The sequence below is a fragment of the Homo sapiens genome, chromosome 6 (genome assembly GCF_000001405.40).
Source record: "Homo sapiens chromosome 6, GRCh38.p14 Primary Assembly".
NCBI lineage: Eukaryota > Metazoa > Chordata > Mammalia > Primates > Hominidae > Homo > Homo sapiens.
In genome coordinates, this window is record NC_000006.12 from 607,196 (window position 1) to 623,467 (window position 16,272).

General features: G+C 39.6%; 1 protein-coding gene across 18 annotated transcripts in view, besides 1 other annotated feature; it reads right to left on the minus strand.

Annotated features, from left to right (window-relative positions):
• The window catches only part of EXOC2 (exocyst complex component 2), a 207,986-nt gene that overhangs the window by 122,042 nt on the left and 69,672 nt on the right, over nt 1-16,272 (minus strand). For all 18 annotated transcript variants that reach the window (NR_073064.2, XM_017011022.2, XM_017011023.2 and 15 more), the window contains 3 exons: nt 12,235-12,348; nt 10,516-10,640; nt 2,903-2,983 (listed from right to left, as the gene is read on the minus strand). Coding sequence is in view for 17 of the 18 variants with exons in the window: in XM_017011022.2 (XP_016866511.1) it covers nt 2,903-2,983; nt 10,516-10,640; nt 12,235-12,348 (320 nt within the window). In the remaining variant the exon portion in view is untranslated. The remainder of the gene's footprint in view (nt 1-2,902; nt 2,984-10,515; nt 10,641-12,234; nt 12,349-16,272) is intronic.
• Nucleotides 53-252: an enhancer, noted in NCBI's record as "active region_23856". NCBI's record gives its function as "activates an Ori minimal core promoter by ATAC-STARR-seq in GM12878 lymphoblastoid cells {active_cell/tissue: GM12878}" and the evidence as "EXISTENCE:reporter gene assay evidence [ECO:0000049][PMID:35858748]".

Genomic DNA, 16,272 nt, shown 5'->3' on the forward strand with positions numbered 1-16,272 from the left:
ACCGTGATGACTGAAACCTGCGCCTATCAAAACCACACACACAGCACGGCCTGCCTGCAGTTCAAAGCACAAGTCTGGAGCCATATTTCTGGATATAAATTGCAGCTCTGCTACTTACTACTTACATAACCTTACATGGCTCAATTAATCTTCTGGGCTTTAGTTTTTTTCATCAATAAAGCGAAGATAACAGCACAAACCTCAAAGTGTTGTTGTGAGGACTAAATATACCTAGATAGTTTCGAGCAACACCTGCCCTGCAGTAGGCCCTCCACAAGCGTGAGCTACGACTGCCACAGCTACTGCTACAAATACTTACACAGCATGTCTACACCTGCACTGTCTAACACAGTAACTACCAGCCACACGGGACTATTTCAATTTAAAGCAGAATTAATTAAAATTAAATAAAAATTTAAAACTCAATTCCTCAGTTGTACTAGTCACATTGGAAGTGCTCAGTAGCTACATTTTCATCATTGCAGAAATTCTATTGAACAATGCTGTTCTATATATTTGAAACAGGTAAGAACACAGAGTTGAATATGCAAATTTGATGTAAATAAACTAATAGTCATCATTGGCTTGAAATCAAGAATAAGTTATTAAGTTCAAACACAGACATGAGAAACACATATCATGAAAACAAAAAACAATTTCTTTTTTTTAACAATTTCAAAAGAAAGTGTCAAAACTGATAAACTCTGAATAAATGACCTAAGTTTCCTGCAGCCAACAGTATCCTTTAGAAACTTAGCTTAAAAGTCAGAAAGATTGCCCAATTTAAAAAAAAATCTTTTAAAAAAACTGAAGAAATATCCATATACATTAGTATATAATTATACATCAGGTAAAAAGCATTAGTAATCATCTAAGTGAAGTAAATGACACTCATACTCATTTATGCTTTCCTTCCTTTCTACAACAAAATAAATTCAATTTTCAACAGAACTGACTGAATCTTTGTGACTTTAGTTCTGTTTTCACCAGTTCTGCAGTACTGAAGTCTGATAACTACGAACCCGCCTGGGCGGGACTCTCTCGGGGCCAGAGCTGCATCCCCTCCGGCTTTGCTCCCAGGCTGGCTTAGCACGGGGCTTGACACAACCAGAGTTAAATAAACGTCTGTCAAGTTGACCTGAATTAGGAAAAACATATCCTAAGACAGCAATCAACATCATGTTGTTAAAAAATGTTTCTAGAAAAGGGGGAATTGTTATAAAGAAATGTATTTTAGGGAAATTTTAATAGCAAAAAGTCCTGACGAATGGTCTCATAAAGAAGTGACCATTTATATTAAGCTGAACTTTATCCAAAAAGAGCAAACTTCAATAGAAAGTTAATACGACACTTTTCTGGAAAAAAAAATTCATGGTTATAAAGGAATATATGGAAAAAGGCAATTTTTAATACCCCAAGTCCCAAGGGACGATTTCTCAAACTACTGCTTCAAAGAAATAAAAAAAATCACATTACCACACTATGGTAAGCCTAACACATGAAACAGACCCTAGAATTTCCCAAACCGGAACAAGGATCTCCTTCTCTGATACCATCATATACTTACTATGTCAACTGTTCCTATAAGCCACCTTTTTAAAATTACTGAAGTAAACATGTTTTTTATACAGATATCATAGTTTGATAACTTCTCCAGGGCAAATAACATCCTTGAGTAGAAAATATCCTTCCAAGATCTTAAAATGTCTGACTATGCTAATATAGAAACAGCTTCAATAAGTGTTTGAGTTAAATTCAGAATATCTTCATTTTAACAACATTGGTGACTTGGTTCTCAAAGATAAAAACAAGGGAAGATCTCAGGGCAATTAAGTAATAATAATCAGAGGAAAAAATTAAGTGCTGTTAAATTCCTAAATTTAGAATGAAATCCAAGTCCTCAAATGCTACTACCAAGAGAACACTTCTTTCTAGAAAATGCTTTCTTTTAGGGATCACTCAGGTTTGTGAAAAGATATTCACATACAGGCTCAGAACGTTCCACCCACGGGACTCACTTAAGCCGGAAGGGCAAAACTAGCTTCACATCACAGCCTTAAATTCACAGAATTTTTAAAGATCTGGTGTGAGGTTTTTTCATTCTTCCAATGATTCTTAACTCTACTTCCTGATGAGATTGTACATTATATTTAAACCTAAGGAGATGCCCATGGGCATTCCTATCAAATGTAAACTATAGTTGTGAAAAGATTTATTTTAAATGACTTATTTTTAAGCCACTAACATCATAGTAAGGATTAATTCATCTGATCACTTTCTTCTAAATCAGCAGGATAAGTAGCTGGGACCTAGGACATCAGAAAAAGGACAGACAAGGGACGTGGACAGAACTCAAAACTTTGCACATAGCCATTTTCCCTGGGCCTATAATTTTTACAAAATATCTCAGATTTAGACACCTTCTTAAATAGCCAGCTGCCTTAAATTCTTTTTTAGAAAAAGGCAAGTTATACACAAATAAATGACCCCTAAGAATCTGTTACTCTTGTGGCTGAGGTTATTTGCATTAATGCTGGGAGACGCCTGATGATGGCTCCTCCACGTTGCTGGTCAGTGACAATCCTGGCTACTGCTTCAGTGCTTTCCTCGCTTTGAAGATGCTGTTTATATGCTGGTTGGTTTTAGGGTAGGAAACTTTATTTCTTAAGAAGTATATTGGATTGTTTTCAAATTATGATTTCTCATAAATAAAATGCAAGCAGAAACAGAACATTCATTTTCAATGTTTCTATTCTCCTTTGTGTTCATTAAATCACTACTATTTAGAAATAAATAGTAAAATGCAACTTACTGCCTTGTCCCGCGATATCAGGTCCAAGAACTAATTTTAAAGCATGTTGTAAAATCCATAAATAGTTCTGGGTAGTAGGACAAAACTTACTGTTCAGAACATTCTCCAGTTTCTGCGTCATGGATCCTTCTACTTTTTCCGTTCCATCTGCTTCTAGTTTTTGATGGATGGCTAGAAAAAAAAATCTAGTTAAAATGTAGGCCATTTTAATGGGTGGAGATACATTAAATCAAAATGATATTTTTAAACAGCTTTTTAAAATGGTCATATTATTTTCACTGCTGAAAAGCAGCAAAAACATGCTACCCTGTACAAGGTACCCAGCAGACACCAGTCTAAGTTATTCACAGTTTAACACTATTAAAATAGTACCTAACACACATAATCATCTGTCTTCAAGAACAAGTGGTAAAAACAGTTGAATTGAAAAAGAAAAGGGAGACTTGAGGCATCCTGGGTCTCATTACACAGGTTGAGTATCTCCAATCCGAAAATCCAAAATGCTCCAAAATCTGAAACTTGAAGCACTCACATGACATTCAAAGGAAATGTTCATTGGAGCACTTCACATTTCAGATGTTCAGATTTGGGATGTTCAACCAGTAACTAGGTAATGCAAATATTTAAAAATCTGAAAAAATCTGAAATCTGAAACATTGCTGGGTCCCAAGCATTTCAGATAATTGGTCAGAAAATTCTGAGTAAATTCGGTTCTCAAATGCACTATGAATACACACTCAATGCCTGCTAATATCTATCTCTCTGCTCCTTTTAGTTTCTAATTATGATCTTGTTATTTTTCATCTTTTTTTCTTTCTGTAAGCCACCTCAAATTTTCTTTGAAATTCTAAAATAAACAGACTGCTCCTCTATCAAAGAAACACATTCAGAGAAAGAAGGAGTATATTTGGGGAAGAACCCAGCTACTGCAGTTGAATTGTCTTGGTTGACTTGGAGTGAGGAGAAAGTAATTTCTGTAATGTTTCAAAATTTGAATTGTGTGGTAACAGTGACATAAGATGTTTCTACATACCAAAGCTGAAACTGGGGTTCAACTTACTAAGTGAAACGGAAAGGAACTTCCTTCCCTCTCTGTAAGGAAAGGAGATGGACTATGCCTAAGCATTAGAAAGCTGAAACGGAAAGGAACTTCCTTCCCTCTCTGTAAGGAAAGGAGATGGACTATGCCTAAGCATTAGAAAGCTAAACTGGAAAGACTTCCATGCTGCATGTGTGCAGATCTGCTCTCCCTCTTGGTTTAAATGCTGCTGTGATGTTCTGATAGTCCTGGCTGAGAAGGACACCTGGCACCCACTGCAGCTGCACCGAGTGGGCACCCACTGCAGCTGCAATGAACAGACACTGCGCTGAGATGTCACACCCCACAGTAGCCCTGCTCCACAGGTTGCTTTCTAAGTCAAAATTAGCATTAAAGGAAATCATGTAGCCACATTTTCTGATGCTGACAAAACCCATCACTGATGAGCAGGTCAAGATGAGGTGACCCTGGCCCCCCGGCTCAGTTTACAGCCCTTTTTGCTGACAGACTAACTTCCTCCGCCCATCTCCACCACAGCAGAGCCACTGCCAAGCTGTCAGCCAAGCATGAGGACTGAGAGACACTGGGATCTGATAAAGGCAATCCTATTTTCCAGAAAATTAAACCAAATAACCCAATGTCTGGTTCACTTGACCTTTTATTTTCTCTGAAAACATCTTTAAGTAGAATAACTCAATAAGCAACTTGGTACATGATCATAGGTTTGTTATTGTTTCTAATCTATTAAAACTTAAATATGTGAAGCAGTTGAACATTATAAGTTTGTATTTGAGAAACAAAAAAAAGTATGTACAACAGTACTTCTCAAAGAAAAATCAAGGTTATAGAAAGACTGCCTATTACTTCACTACAATTATTTGATCATTTTAACACTCAAATAAAATGTAGATATCAAATTTGCAATTACAATAAGAAATTCATAATATCCATCCATGCATTTATGTAAATATCATTGTTAAACGAGGCACCAAGGAATAATGTCTGTGTAGGGTAGTATCTAAAGGATCCAGTGTTGGGCACAGAAGTATGTATATGCTCTAACCAATCTATGTTAATGCTAGCCTGTGTGAGACAGGAATATTCAAGCCGGATGACAGATGAGCAAACTATTGCTATGAAGAACCAAACAGTCAACACTTTAGGCTTTGTGGGCCACATACGGCCTCTATCACATATTCTTCTTTTTTTGTTTTTAGCATGGGAAAACACAGCCATGCTTAGCTCCCGGCCTGTACAAAGGCTGTGGCCTAATTTGGCTCACATGCTGACCTCTGAGTAGGATTATATTTACTAAAGTAGGAGAAGAGGAAGGGTTAGTGTAAGATGCATTAATATTTTAAATTGATAGAGAGCCCTTCAAACATTTAGTTTCTATTTCTTATTTTACCAAACTTTTATCAGAGTAGACAAATCATATATAAATTATATTTAAACTGGTTACGTAATCTGTGGTTCCTTTTCTTCCCAAATTATACTAAAGAAAATAAACAAACAGTAAAATAATTGCAACTATTACACAGAAGAGTAACAGGAATGATTCTCACTTAGATAACTGAGTCCCAGAAAATGATACCTACCTGAATTATCTTCATACATCAATAGACACTAACAACAGAATGTGTCAAAAAATCAATTACGGCTCAAGCCACACAGAGTTAAGCAGCAGCAATAAAAGGAACAGGGGAAGGAAGACAAATAAGACAGAGCGCAGGGAGGAACATGCGTAATTTAGTCTGTTTCGGCTTTTTACCCCAGTGTACCATAACGAATATTCACTCACACAGTTTTGACCCACAGTTGTTCTTGAAAGGGGCAAGTGATAATGCTGGACTTGCCGCTAAAAACAAGAGATTATACAGGTCACTAAATGCACAAGCTCAAGGGGCATTCAGGGAAATCGCCACCAAAACAAAGGAGGTGCCCAGAGGCACCAAGGAGCTCAGGAAGGCCTTTCACACTACAAACAGCTCCAGGAACCTCACCACCACCCAGGAGGACCAGCGTGAGCAGTATCTGCTAACAACCCACAGGTCACTCCCACTTCAAGGGAACAGAAGGGAATGACAGAGGGAAGGCCATGGCAAAATGAAGTCTGGTGCTAGAAACATTTTTGCAGAATAAAGAAAAAAAACTGTACTAAACATACCAAGGTTGCTATTGGCAGGTGTTATGCCAGACACACTTCTTGTCAAGTTCTAATTAAAATACCTGTGGGGACACACAGGAAGAAACAAAACCGACAATGGCATAAAAACTTAAGGATGAACAAAAGCTACTAATGGAATACCGGGTTGGGATGGACTGAAAAAAACCAGACTTGGACTGGGTATGAAATAGTCCACTGGATGGAACTGAAGAATGCAGATGATGTAAAAAAAAGAAAGAAAGAAAGAAAAAAACAACAAAAAAAGAGCAGAGAAGGGCTCTGATTTGTACCTGTCCCCTGTGCCCAACACTGGAACACAAGGATGGCACAGACCAGAAACATTTTCCAATGTTTCCATAACCATCTTCAGGACTACAGTTCTGTTCCCCCATTTTTCTTAACCACACAGCTCGTTTCCTTTGATAACCATTTGGAGAACAATTTCCCCACATCCCAGAATGGCAGGAAAACAGAAGGAAACCGGGAGGAGGCATCCACTGCTGGTCAACTCAGAGCAAAGGCTCTCAGAATAGTATTTGGATAGCATCAGGAGATATACCTAATGTTAAATGATGAGTTAATGGGTGCAGCACACCAACATGGCACATGTATACATATGTAACAAACCTGCACGTTGTGCACATGTACCCTAAAACTTAAAGTATAATTTAAATAAATAAATAAATAAAATAAAATAATAAAAAATAAAAATCCTGCCACATGTAGCAACACAAGACACATGCCAAAAGAAAAATTTCTAAAAGGTTACAAAGAATATTACAAATAATATATCAAGCCAATGTATATAAAAGGAAGGGTATAAAATATTAATATCATGTTATTATGCACCAAAGAATTTAATCTTGCCCCCCAAAAGGTCTGGCCTTTGTCCTTAGGTCCTGGGAGGTAATCTCTAAACTCTTGAAATGTTCTGCCTGATAAGAGTGTCTTTGTTTGCCTGTGGACCACGGGCCACACTAGATAATCTAACAATGGAATTTACGGTGAGGACTTAGGGTCACTCAATATCAGCCTGATCTGAGGGAATGAAGATTGAAGTCGGCCTTGACCATGTCCATGTGACGGGGCCGTACTACAGACTCCGGATCTGGACAACAAGGTTTGGGGAGCTTCCTTGGCTGCAAGTACTCCATGTGTGTGTCACGGACTGTTACCAGGAAAGTCAGTGCTGCCTGCAATTCCACTGGGAGACTACTGGAAGCTCCATGGATGAAAATTTCCTAGACCTGCTCCATGAATCTCTATCCCTGGCTGACTATAACCTGTAATTTCCCTGTAATGAACCATAAGTCTGAGTACAACAGCTTTCACTGAGTTCTGTGAGTCCTTCTAGCAAAACACCAAACTGAGGGTAATCTTGGGGACTACTTATAAATATATTATCATCAAGAGAATCTAAACCATCAAAAGTGACAAAGTAAATACATGCTTTACATATGAAGAAAAGCCGACAGAATCCAAATTAAAGAAAGAGATTTGTCTGTCATGTTTAATATAAATAAGCTATATTTAAATAATATAATCAATCAGGCATTGATACTATATCAAATAGTGGACCCTGAAGAAACCACATCCGTCCGTCCTTTTTAATTTTTGGCATACTTACAAAAACTTAAATATATATTAAGAAACATATTCTCTGTTCACAATACTATGAGAACAGAGACTATGAAAACAAAAATTTACTAAAAACTACTAAGGAGGAAAATTACAATACACATTTTAAAAACACAAAAAAGATATCTCTGAAGAATCAATGTTAAAAAAATCACACAGAACATACAAATACTAAACAGATAACGAAAGGGCCTATAACATGAATTTTAAATGATTTAAAAATTAGAATGCAATGCTAATAAAACATGAAAATCTTAATAGAGAATTTCAGGGAAAACAAACCAAAATAAAGCAGAGACAGTAGAGGTTTGAAAAGTATATGTGGGTGTGGGTGTGTGTGTGTGTGTGTGTGTGTGTGTATGTATGTGTATACATACATATTTATCTATCTGTCTCACCTGTTCGTTCCCAGTCCCCCCTTGAAGCTACTGATCCACTGCAGTGTCTGTTCAGGAGACCCCAGACACGAATGCACTCCTGCCTGGTGTGATGAAACAGGAAGCACAGCACTATCCATGCCTAAAAGTGTTGAAAGTGAATCTTATCTAATATCCAATTAGATGAGTCCAAGCAATTTAATGGCAAGAAAAATAAGTTAAATGACACCACAAGGAAGTCATCAGTCAAATTCAGAGTGGGGGATATCTTCCAGGACAAATGACCTTGTTTCTTCAACAAATCAATAGCATGAAAAACCAGAAACAGGCTGGGCGTGGAAATTAGCTGGGCGTGGTGGTGGGCACCTGTAATCCCAGCTACTTGGGAGGCTGAGGCAGGAGAATCATGTGAACCCAGGAGGCAGAGGTTGCAGTAAGCTGAAATCGCACCACCGCACTCCAGCCTGGGCAACAGAGTGAGACTCCATCTCAAAAGAAAAAAAAAAAAAAAGAAAAACCAGAAACAGGGTAAGAAAGGTGAGGGGATGGTTTTAGTTTAAAAGAGGCTTAAGAGATTTAAAAATTAAGTGAAATGCCTGAATTTTATTTGAATCTTGATTTGGACATATCACCTATAAAAATAAAGTTTGGGGATAATTTGAGAAATCTGAACTGGGAATGAGATGATATTAAACAATTATTGCCAATTTGGTTAACTATGATAATATCATTGTGATTATGCACATAAATGTCCTTGCCCTTACTTGGGAGATTATACTTTCATCTCCACTTTTCACATTTCAAAATTTTCATAACAGAAAAGTAAAAACAACTTACCCGAGCAACTTTACATATCAGCTCTGTCAAATTTGAACCATGTAATTCCTAGTCTACATAGTCCACTGACAATAGTGGATCTCTCTGTGTTGCTCTATGTGCTGTCAGTGGTAATTTAGAGAGAAGAGCAATAAGCACAAATAAAGAATGGCACACCATCAAGAAACATAAGGCACACATATTTATCAGGAAGAGCACCTACCTTCTCTGTTCCCTCTTAGACATTCACATTTTACCCCTTCAAAAACCTAACTTCTGCCGGGCGCGGTGGCTCACGCCTGTAATCCCAGCACTTTGGGAGGCCGAGGCGGGCGGATCACGAGGTCAGGAGATCGAGACCATCCTGGCTAACACGGTGAAACCCCGTCTCTACTAAAAATACAAAAAATTAGCCGGGCGCAGTGGCGGGCGCCTGTAGTCCCAGCTCCTCGGGAGGCTGAGGCAGGAGAATGGCGTGAACCCGGGAGGCGGAGCTTGCAGTGAGCTGAGATCGCGCCACAGCACTCCCGCCTGGGCGACAGAGCGAAACTCCGTCTCAAAAAAAAAAAAAAAAAAAAACTAACTTCTACCTGCAAGGAAGAAGCTGCATCACATACACTGCATCACATACACATTTAATGTGTTGGAGGTCAATTAAGTATATATGGCACAGGAAGAGGGGGGCTTATTTATTTATTTATTTATTTAATTTATTTAGAGATGGGGTCTCGCTCTGTCACCAGGCTGGAGTGCAGTGGCGCGATCTCGGCTCACTGCAACCTCCGCCTCCCACGCTCAAGCAATTCTCCAGCCTCAGCCTCCCAAGGAGCTAGGACTACAGGTATGCACTACGCCTGGCTAATTTTTTGTATTTTTAGTAGAGAGGGAGGAGGGGGACTTTTAAAATAATAAAAGAATGTCTATACTTTAGGAATAAAAATAATTTTTAAAATTTACCTTCCTGAATTGAAGAAGATGTGGCCTCAATGCATGGTTAGAGTTATGGATACTTAAGCTATATGGGTATTTAGTTTTAAGTATCTTAGCTATTAAAAAGAATTGAGTTAACTTTTATTGATATAGATTACTTTTTACTAAATAGCAATAATTAAACTTTCATTAATTAAAAGCAGTTTTATAAAAAAAAAACTCTACCAACATCTTGCATTAAAATGTCTAAAGCTATGACATCTGTACTCCATACAACGTCCCTCCCATACACAGATGGCACAGTGACAGCTACCTGCGTGCATACGTGGGCGCCTGTGCGATAAGGGCTGAAGAGACTGGTATCCTATCATCAGCCTTTCCAAAGTGAACACACAATGGGTTGCATTTATAGAATTAGTCACATATGTAAGATATTGGTGGTTGTGCATTGGGATTTAATTTCGTATCAGCCCTGGAGTGTGGACATCACAGAGAGTTAAAGTAGTCTCCCATTTCACACATGTAAGATGGGTTAACAAAAGCCTCAGAGATAAATTTTTAAAGTACCAAGTCTTCAAAGAGATGCCAGCCTACTCTGCAACAAATATTTATAGCACATTTGAGATCTCTACTTTGATAAAAACAGACCGAGTGTCACACCCTGTAAACACCCTGCAGGCAGTGCCGGGTTTCCATGGCGGAAGCTGCCAGCAGATGGCTCTGAGGATCGCCTTACCTGAGAGGGCATCCTGTGCTTCGAAGAATGTACTGAGACCGCCTTTCACATAGGCCAGGCTGCCCTCACTCTTCTTGTTAGCCTGTCTCTTTAGGTTGGTGACTGCCATTTTGAGCTGCTCAAAACTGAAATGAAATAAAGAAACCAAAGTTTGACACTTCTAACATGCAAGAAAGAAAAAATAATTCCTTCAGTGGAGAACACTAAATATGCTAAAACCGATGCTAAGTAGCACACAGATTAATATCATACGAAGCCAGATGAAATCAAAAAGCTTTCAAATTGTTGCGTAGATCTAAACCTTTTATTTATTATGAATGCCTAAATTACAACAGCTACAAGACTTTCGGAGCCCTCGATGGTAATTCCAAATACATTAGACCCCTAAGAAGTAAATGTGTAGATGTTTTTATAACCTATATATAATATATACAATTTACCAGATAAAGAGTTTTGAACATCCTGTACTAGGTAAGAAGACACAGATCATCCAGTGATAGACAACATTTCAAAGATGGAACTGCTTTGTACATTCACTGAAGCATTGTGGAACACTAAGCATAATGTTATACTTATCAGTATCCAGTCCTCTGTCCTTAGTCATAAAATTACATGAATCCTGTGGGTCGATTCACAACTTAAATAACTAGGAAGACCACAATATCTCATCTCAATATCTAAAGCAGAGAAAACTAAAGACAGGCCTCTGTATTTCAGAAGTTTTATGTCCATTTGAGCTAAGAAAATCCGGCTATAAAACTTTAAACGTATTCTTGATAGACCTACACAAGAAACAGAGCTCAATTCTGACTTATAATAATAGAAATTCTACATCTGTAATGTAAAATCAGAATCATCTTCTACAATGAAAAAATTCATCTTGGACATTTGCTTTAAAAAGCAATCAGGTTAAATTTACCCTATGTATTAAAATGCCAACCTTTCCTCATCTTGGACATTTGCTTTAAAAAGCAATCAGGTTAAATTTATCCTGTGTATTAAAATGCCAACTTTTCCTGATGTTTTCTAGTAATGCTTTTCACCCTAATAAATGAATGAAACATTTATATTAAGGTATATTTTAACACACTAATTTATCAATAATTTAAGTTTTAAGCAATAAACCATTGATTTATCCAAACATTTTTTGCTGAATATAATTATTTTAAATCAATCTTGCAAATAAGCTACAAACTTGCTCTTGTACAGAGTAAAATGTAATTAGAAGACAGAAGGGAACCTTCAAATTGGATATATGACCTTGTCTACTTTTTTGCTAATTTTAAGCCAGGTCCTTACATGATGATAAACCAACTCATCTTCCTTTGCCCTATGGTCAGAGAAGGCAGTGTGTTCCATGTTTTACCCCAGAACTTAAAATTTTTATGTTATTTGAGTAGGGAGAGATCACATTCATACATGTCAGTTTAAGTCCCCAGCTAAGGCTCCATAAATTTTTAATAACCTGCATCAATAATGAAATATATTGAACATAAAATGACAGTAGGAAATGAGAGACCTCTAAAGAATCATCCCATTGCACAAACAGGGAAACAGACACCCTGAGATGTTCACGGGTAAACGCAAAGTCAAAGAGCTCGCAGACCTAAAACCATGTAACTGTATGCAGAGCCAGACCTAAAACTCGAGTTACCGTGTAATTCCATCTTTAGCATCTGAGTGAAACCCTTCACAGTTGACAGTCCCATATCCACTAACCTGGTGTTTGAGTGATTCTCTATAAGATACCAGGCTGCTGAGAAATTCTCACTTGTAAAATCAGCACTCATTCCATGGAATAGCATTTCTAAGTCCTTCTGCGAAAATTTACTTCTGAGGGGAAAAAACGTTTAAAATATATTTCAATGGTTATTATGACAAAAATGGAAAAGGTATCACTAAGTATCCAGTATAACACATATGAATACTAACCATTACAACAATACATATTAATCATACATTACCCAGAACATGTTTGTATATATGTACAAAATATATTTCCCACATCATGGCTGATTTTTCTATCACTTAAACTTTGATTTTATATAGAAAAGATAGGAAACTAGTTGAAATACAGAAATTACATCAATAAAAGAATATAAGGTTTAAAGAGGATTAAGACATCTGGCTGAGTTGACAGTTTTATTAAACCTATCAAAATATGACATCAATCCCCATTCAATGTATAAAAATCAAAATTTGAATACAGTGAAATTCTAAAATATTAAATCACTTTGTTAAAATGATTTTTGTTAAAACCTAGATGAAAGTTGTTTTAAGACATACTAAGAAATCATCAAAGTACTAATAAAACCACATCTAATCACAAAGCACTCACATTTGCGTCCATGTCTAGAATGACTTTAAGAAAAGCTTGTGATAACAACAGGGTATATACATAATCTGCTGCTCCCTCATCTTGCCTACATGTTTAAGACTGACTTCTGGATCAATTCATTTATATATTCGTTCGACTATTAATCAAGTATCGACAATAGATCAGGTTCCATGCTGGGATGCCAGATGTACCCACCGAGGCTCACAACGTGGCAGCCTTTGCTGGCGCCCCCTGCCCCATTTGCAGGATGAAATCCAAGCATGTCTATGAACTGAATCTGCTTGTCCCTCAGGGCTCATTTCTGCCACTCTAGGCATGAAACCTGACGCTTCGGCAGCCTCAAAGGGACTATACTGTCTCGCATGTTGGTCTCCACCATCTTGGGGTTTACTTTGTTCGTCTGATTTGCCGCCCCCTCTAAGATGTGTCCCCTACCCCAAAACACTGGACAAGCCCAACTCATAAGGTATAAACCAGACACAGATCATTTGATAGGGTAGTATCTCTTTAACAGTTACGCAGTGGGGAAAACACTCCTACCCCAAAAGAATTTTAATGTGGGTAGGTCCGATGACTTTGGTATTCTCTGGGAGAGTCTTGCTGTCTCCTCATTACAAACACAGCCTCAATTCAGAAATTAGGCAGCTTAGTTCGTGATCCACACTCCAACTTCACCCAAAGGTAACATTTTTTTCTTCCCTCTTCCCAGCCAAGGTCAATAGTTAATAGGCTGCTTACTCGTTTGGGGGAAAAATGGCAGCTCTCTCGTAGAGGTTAAGGGTGGGATGGACAGAGAGACAAGAATGGAATGTCCTTCGGGGCCTGTGCCTGGTACTGCCATAGGTGGTCTGTGCTCTCTGCCTGCCAGGTATTCGAACCTACTTGAGTCTTGGGGGCATTTTCACGGGTTCCCTAAAGGGCTCTGGAGGACTCCTCCAGCCATGACTCATGGATGCATCTGCTTCCTATTGCCACTCCTCAGCCTCCAGTGGTCTCAGTCTTACCGCAGACACTCCCTGCTGGAGCCCCTCCACGTTCAGGTGACCAGTGCCCATAGGCACAACTTCCAATGGCCTGGAGCCCACTCTCTCTAGCAAGGTGCTTGCACACCTGGACATGGAGAACACCCCTAAAATGCAGCCACCTCTACTGTCCATGCAGGCTCTGTGTCTCACAGCTGCAGGGAACACTGTCACCTGGAGGTCCCACTCACCAGGCCTCAGTGAAGACGGTCACATGCTCTGCATCCTCCCACTTCATGGCCTACCCCAGCTCTCCCCACAGATATCTCTGCACAAACCCTCCTTGCCTCTCTACACATCCTCTCCCTCTGTGGTCCCTAGAAGAACAGGGAATGTGAGCTGCAAAACCAGATCTCGAGGAGTTCCTCTATCAACCCTGCACAGCGAGACGCCACTCACTCCAAAGTCTAATGCCTACTGCGTGAGCATCTCAGCCAGGACAGGGCGTCCCATTCACATTCGGTAACACTGTCCTTCTTCACTATGTTCCTTTTTTGACTGGGTGGGGGATGCCTTGCTTAGAATGATGATAACAGAAAAGAAGACAGATGAGATTTTGGGAGGTGGCACCACTTCCACCGAGACTGAGTCGATCGTGCATCTTTTCTCACTAGCTTCACGAGTTAAAAGATTTATAGTCTGAATCCTCCCGATACATGCATGTGGCATTCATTACTTGCTGGTCCTTTTCACCGGTCAGCAGTCTCTGGGAGGGAGGTGGAGAACTTTGAGTTTTTAGAAGTTTATTTTGGTTTGGATTCTTCATGCTGGTTCTCATACTTTACTTAGTAAGAAAATCCTTTCACCTTTGGAAGTTTTTCTCACTTTATTTATCTGCACCCCATGCCTCCAAGTTAGAGCTTTGGGGGAATATAGAGACTGAGTGGAGGCTTAGGCTAAGCTGTGACATGCTGAACCCCGGCTAAGTGACCCAGAAGTGCCTCCTTCTGCAGTCCTGCTCTAACCGGCAGGCAGCATCTGCCTGGAGCACTGTGTGAGGGATCACGGGCTTTGTCTCAACTCAGCTAGAAAGAATGACATGACCAATTAGTAAGGCGTGTCATCGCGGGCAGAAGTCATGGTGGCTGCAGACCATGTTTCTGTCGACCTTCCTTCTAGACACGGCCATTCAATGTGGTGTCTCACACTTCACTTGGTCAGAGAGTTAAATGGTCTGAACAGAATCAAAATGCGCTACTGGTATCAACTAAGTTCCTACTAACAACAGTCTTCACACCTGATTTAAGTACAAGACATCCTCATCCAGCAGGGATCAAGTCCAAGTAACCTAAGGACACAGCTGAGAAAAAAGAAACGAAAGAAGGCTGAGAAGTCAAACAGCTTCTGTGCCCCTCCCCCACGCCCATGGTGCTGCGCTGTGCCTCGGTGTTTCTCTGCCCATAATCGAACAGGGAATGAACGGCAGTTGCTAGCGTTAAGAGCTGATGATGTGAAGAAAGGATCTGTGACACAATGGTAGCAAGTAACGCAAGAAAGTATAAAATGCAGACACAAAACTCAAAAATACAGCAGCTGCATGCCCTGGAGAAACGGCTAAGAACACACAGTCCCCATGGGTCTGGCAGCTACGTCATACTCCACGTGTTTAGCCAAAATAAAAAATGTTTTAAAAAACAGAATGTACACAGCACATACAGAAAAGGCTCTGTCCTAAACAGTTACAATGCTTAAATTGGTGGTACTGATGGTACTGAACAATGTAAACCAGCAGCTCAGAGCTTTCCATTCTGTACTCCATTTTTAAAATTCCCCTGATACTTAAACTCTGGTAACATCTCACTTACAATGCATTACTAAATTGTTATTTTTACAAATCTAAACTGCTCTCAGTTATATCATAACATAAAGGCCTGATGTCTAGTGGAGGGCTCCAGGAGAGGGACTGTTAAGATTTTAAGAAACTCTCCTACCCCCAGGAGTCCCTCCCTCCCTCATCCTCAGAAGGAGCAGGGATGGGTCTAGCCAGTCCCTAGCAGTGGGGCCCCTGGCCAGAAAGCAGTGGGTCTGGTGAGGTCCCCACTGGCCCTGCACTCCCAGCTCTTCAGCCATGAACATCCCGTGCACCACAGGCCGCTGGGAGGACACGGGTGGCAGAGCCTGAGACTTGGCTTCTGCATTGGAGTGAGCAGGGAGGCCCAAGCCCCTGGAGCTGGATTCTGAGATTCGAGCCCCACCCACCCGCCAGCACCCCTACCCGGATGCGTCGTTCCTTCAGGCCCCTGAACTGGGCCAGGTACAATTTGAAAAGCACTACATCTCTTGGTCAAAATACCACCTCCCCTAAGACGGAGCTGATTATTCTGAGAGTTCTTACTGAAGACATTAAAACTCTTTCACTGATCTTAATTGGAAGACATGTATTGAGACTTATAGCAG